The sequence below is a fragment of the Homo sapiens genome, chromosome 9 (assembly GCF_000001405.40).
Source record: "Homo sapiens chromosome 9, GRCh38.p14 Primary Assembly".
Classification (NCBI taxonomy): Eukaryota; Metazoa; Chordata; class Mammalia; order Primates; family Hominidae; genus Homo; species Homo sapiens.
The window spans coordinates 96778088-96783788 of NC_000009.12; positions in this window are offsets into that span (position 1 = coordinate 96778088).

Below are 5701 nucleotides of genomic sequence, written 5' to 3' on the forward strand. Positions count from 1 at the left end.
GGGGTTGACTGCACATGCGCAGACGAAAACGCGCATATCCGTTCCCAGCATGCTGCGCGGTAACCCATAACATGCAAGACTACGTTTCACATGCAGTACGGCGCCAGCTGTCAGTGTTTTTTTGTTTGTTTTTCCCCCAAGATTTATGGCGTAATAACATGGACCGTCCTGATAACTGGAGCCCGGGTTCTGTCAGAGCCCCAGAGGTTGTGGGTTAGACTTGATGACATAACAGCAAATGCAGCGTGTGGTTACAGAAAGCAAGAGCCGCGGAAGACGTTTGAAAACAATTGGGAAAATTTGTATACGGACTGGAAATTAGAATTATTAATTAATTGTGGCAGCATTGGGATTATGTAGGTAATCTTGCTTATTCATAAAGAGATGTCTATGTAAGTATTTAGGATTGTATTATGTTTGTAAGTTTTTGGGTTTTTTGGTTTTTTTTTTTTTTTTTGAGACGGAGTCTTACTCTGTCGCCCAGGCTGGAGTGCAGTGGCGCGATCTCGGCTAACTGCAACCTCCGCCTCCCGGGTTCAAGCGATTCTCCTGCCTCAGCCTCCCAAGTAGCTGGGACTACAGGCGCCCGCCACTACGCCCAGCTAATTTTTGTATTTTTAGTAGAGACGGGGTTTCACCATGTTGGCCAGGCTGGTCTCGAACTCCTCACCTCAAGTGATCCGCCTGCCTTGGCCTCCCAAAGTGCTGGGTATACAGGCGTGAGCTACCACTCCCGGCCCGTTTGTAAGTTCTTTTTAAAAAATAATTAGAAATGGGAAGTATGGCAAAATGTTAAGAATATCTACTTCTAGAATATGGACATGCTTATTGACTATGTGTTGGAAAATTTTATAATATAAAGTTGATAAAGGGAAAATTGGGACTGTAATGTTACAAGTGTGCCTTTTAACTTAGAGCTGCCACAAAAATACATAAACAGCTTTGTGAATAAAGCCGTAAAATGTAACAAATACTAGAAAATGGAAACCATTATTAACATAAAAGAATAATATTTGTGATCCTCAGTTTATCTCTGGGGGGAAAAAAAGAAAAAGCAAGTAAGCTGTTCAGCATTACATAATACCTGAAGTACACACAATCCCAACTAAGAAAACCGTTATCCACAAATTATGCATCTCCTAGAGATGAGCTTGCTTAAATCTTATGTGGTATGCTTCTGAAATCAGGAACCAAATTAGGAACCTCTCAGCACAGTATTTTATGACACTCTTTTTAGTAACACACATACACTCACACACACACGGTTGATACTTTCTAACAGGTTATTTTATATGGCAATGATAAGTTTTGATTAGCAAGAAAAAAGATTAATGGCAACAGTAAACTAGTGCAGTATATATGAATCAAGGTATAAAATTTTACTGTTGACACTGAAAAACACTTTAATAGATACTGGAGGAAAAGACTAACATTTGTTTTTAAAAATTCTAATCATCTATGTTTTCTAAGTATATATTTTCTTTTTTTGACATTTATATATTTTGCCTGTTTTCCTAAAGGAACTATTCCAATTTTCATTCTAATAAAAACTTATGGTAATGATCAGAAAAGAATTGAAAATGCATAGCAATATCTCTATATTTACTATGTATACTATCACTAAATATTTAAAAATTTATCCTGGTGCAGTAAAAGTTCAACTATATGAAAAAGAAAGAATGTAGTATGTATCAGCTGGCTTTTAAAGCAGTGGAAAGAGAACCTTCAGTAACCTTGTTAGGACAATGAGATAGGTGCTGGGACAAAGGACATATCCATGGCACTAACATTACAATCAATAATTTTCACAAGGATTCATTCAACAATAAGCAATTAATAATATCAAAGTTTTAAATTTTTAAATTATACATTTCTTAAGTTTTTAAGAGAAACAGGTGTTTTAAAAAGATAAACCCTTTAATTCCTTTCCAAGGAAAGTCTCGCCCTTCACATCTGTCTGAAGGCTGAGACCTTGCCTGGTGCCCAAAGAGCTGCTCTCCGCCAACTTCCAAGTTCGGCGCTGTGTGTGTAGATGCAGCACCACCGCAGCTGATAAATATTTGCAGTGAGGTTTGGTTTGTTTGTTTGTTTTTGAGACCGGGTCTCACTATGTCACCGAGGCTGGAGTGAAGTGGTGCGATCACGGCTTATTGCAGCCTGGACTTCCTAGGCTCAAGTGATCCTCCCACCTCAGCTTCCCAAGTAGCTAAGTTTTGGACCTCCCTCCCTCCCTTCCTCCCTCCCTCCCTCCCTTCCTCCCTCCCTTCCTTTCCCTTTTTCTTTCTCTTTCTTTGTTTTTGTCCATGTTGGTCTCAAACTCTTGGGCTCAGGCGATCCACCCACCTTTGCCTCTCAAAGTGCTGGGACTACAGACGCGAGCCACCATGACTGGCCTGCAGTGAGATATTTTGAGGCTATAAAACATCATGTTTCTCTTAAAGTATCACTCACTAATTTAGTAGTGTTTCTTCATTCACCTGTTGAAGGGCAGCTGGTGGTTTCCAGTTTTTGACAATTATGAATAACCCTGTAATGTAAGATTCACACGCAGGTTTTTGTATAAAAATAAAATTTCAATTCACTTTAAAAAATCCTTTCTTCTTTGTGTTGCCTGGTCTGTCTATTCTTTTGCAGATATATTGTTTGGATTACTCTAATTTTATAGAAAGCCTTGAAATCTCATAATGTAAATTCTCCAATTTTTTCTTTTTAAGAATTATTTTGGCTATTCTAGTTTCTTTGCCTTTCCATGGAAATTTTAGAATCAGCCTGTTGACATCTACAAAAAGATTGCTGAGATTTGGGAGAGCTGGCATCTTAACAATATTGAGTCTCTCAATGAGTGAAATTGGTGTACTTTGGGTGGAGTCGTTCACACCTGTAATCCCAGCACTTTGCGAGGCTGAGGCAGGCAGATCACTTGAGGTCAAGAGTTTAAGACCAGCCTGGCCAACATGGTGAAACCCCATCTCTACTAAAAATACAAAAAATAGCCGGGCATTGTGGCACGTGCCTGTAATCTCAGCTACTCAGGAGGCTGAGGCAGGAGAATTGCTTGAACCCAGGAGGTGGAGGTTGCAGTGAGCCAAGATCGGGCCACTGTACCCTAGCCAGGGCAACAGAGCAAGACTCCACCTCAAAAAAAAAAAAAAAGAAAAAAAAAGAAAATGGGATATTTTACGTGAATCTTTCTTTCCTTTCAGCTGTGTTTTGTAGTTTTCAGTATATATATATATATATATATATATATATATATATATAGATCCTGCACACATTTTGATACATTTGTACAGAGGTGTACCTTTCTTTTTTCCTTCTTTCTTCCTTTCTTCTGTTTTAAATAGATTTTTTTAAAATGTCACATTCCAGTTGTTCACTGTTGGTATACAGGGATAAGATGACTTTTGTATATTGACATTTATCCTGAAAACGTGCTAAACTTGCTTATTAATTAAATAAGTTTTTTTGGTATATTGTTTGAAATGTTCTACATATATAGTCATTTTGTCTGCAAATAGTGACCATTTGTTTCTTCCTTTTCAGACTGTATGACTTTTCTTTCTTTTTGTTCCTTTATTTCACTGGCCAAGACTTGTAGGATGATGTTGAATAGGAGTACTGAGAGAGCATTGTTATCTTAATCTGTTTTCCAAGACGGCATCTTGAATGCTGCATCCTTGGGGGATGGGGTGAGGTGAGGAACAGAATGCTCTTCCTCACATGGCAGAAGAGAGAAAGGGGCAAGAGAGGGCCAAACTTGCCCTTTTATAATAGCACCAATCCTACCCATGAAGGTGACGCCCTCGTGGCCTAATCATCTCTTAAAGTTGAAAATGCATAGCAATCTCTCTTAAAACTGTTACAATGGCAATTAACTTTTCATTTGAATTATGGAGGGGGACAAACATTAAAACCATAGCAGTTGCCTTATTCAGATCATTAAGTGTGATGTTAGCTAAAAGTTTTTGTAAATACCCTACATTAGAAGTTTCTTCTATTCTTAATTAGCTAAGAGATTTTACAACAAATATATGTTGAATTGTGTCAGATACCTGTCCTGCATCTATTGATATGGTCCTGCATCTATTGATATGATCATATGGCTATTTTTATTTAGTCTGTCAATATTGTGAATTACATTCATTGATTAAAAATTTTTTTCTTGTAAAATACACAAAACATAAAGCTTACAATTTTAAACACTTTTGAGTGTACAATTCAGTGGTAAAAAGCCTATTCACATTGTTGTGCAACTGTTAACACTTTCTGTCCCCAGAGCCTTTCATCACCCCAAACTGAAACTTCACACTCACTCAACAACTCTCCACTCCTGCCTCTCCTAGCACCTCTGTAACCACTATTCTACTTACTTTCATTATGAATTGTAGGTACCTCATTTAAGAGGAATCATAAAATATTTGTCATTTTGTGTCTAGCTTATTTCACTTAGCAAATGTCCTGAAGGTTCATCCATGTTGTTACATATATTGGAATTTCATTTTGTTTGAAGGCTGAATAATATTCCATTATATGTATACATCATATTTTGTTTATCCATTCATCTGTCAGTGAACATTTGGGTCATTTCCATTTTTGGCTATTATTAGTAATGCTATCATGAACATTGGCGTAAAAATATTTGTTTGAGTCCCTGTGTATTAGTCTGTCTTTAGACTGCTATAAAGAAATACCCAAGACTGGGTAATTTACAGAGGAAAGAGGTTTATTTGGCTCACAGTTCCACATGGCTAGGAGGCCTCAGGAACAATCATGGTGGAAGGTGAGGGGGAAGCAAGGACCTTATTCATATGGCGGCAGGAGAGAGAAGAGCACAGGAAAAGCTATCATTTATAAGACCATCAGATCTCCTGAGAATACTCACTATCACAAGAACAGCATGGGGGAAACCTCCCCCATAGTTCAATCACTTGCCACCAGGTATCTCCCTCAACACCTGGGGATTACAATTCAAGATGAGATTTGGGTGGGGACACAAAGCCTAACCATATCATGCTGCTTTCAGTTATTTCTGGTATATACCTAGAAGTGGCATTGCTGGATCTTGTGGTAATTCTATTAATTTTTTGAGAAAACACTGTACTGTTTATCACAATGGCTACACCATTTTACCTTCCCACCAGCAGTGCAAAACAGTTCCAATTTCTACACATCTTCATCAACTTATTTTCTGTTTATAATGAACTTTTATGACAGCTTTTCTAATGGGTGCAAAGTTGTGTCTTGTGGCTTTGATTTGCATTTTCTTAATGATTAGTGATGTTTTAAAATACAGTGTATTAATGGAAAATTTGAGATATAGTAAGGCCAATAGATTAGGACACAACAGCCACTGGAAAGAAAAAGGGGTATACCACACCATGGGGTCCACACAGGGAAGCACCAAAATCAGCCAAGAGGCAGAGGGAGAGAAGAGAACTATCGGTACGAGCCTTTACCGTGGTTCATTTGGGAAGGAATGGGCAAGACATGGTAATCAGGCTTAGGACTGGCTAGTTTGAATCATTTCAGCAGGCTTTGGGACAGAGGGACTTCCGCTAGTTTTCTGGTACTCAGCTCTGAGGTGTTTTGTGCAGGGGATACTGGCTCAGAGTGTGACAGCCTGATAAAGGAGGTGTTTGGAGCATGAGTTCTAGACTTGTCCGTTTGTATTTGAAAAGTGCCCTCATGTCAAATTGACTAC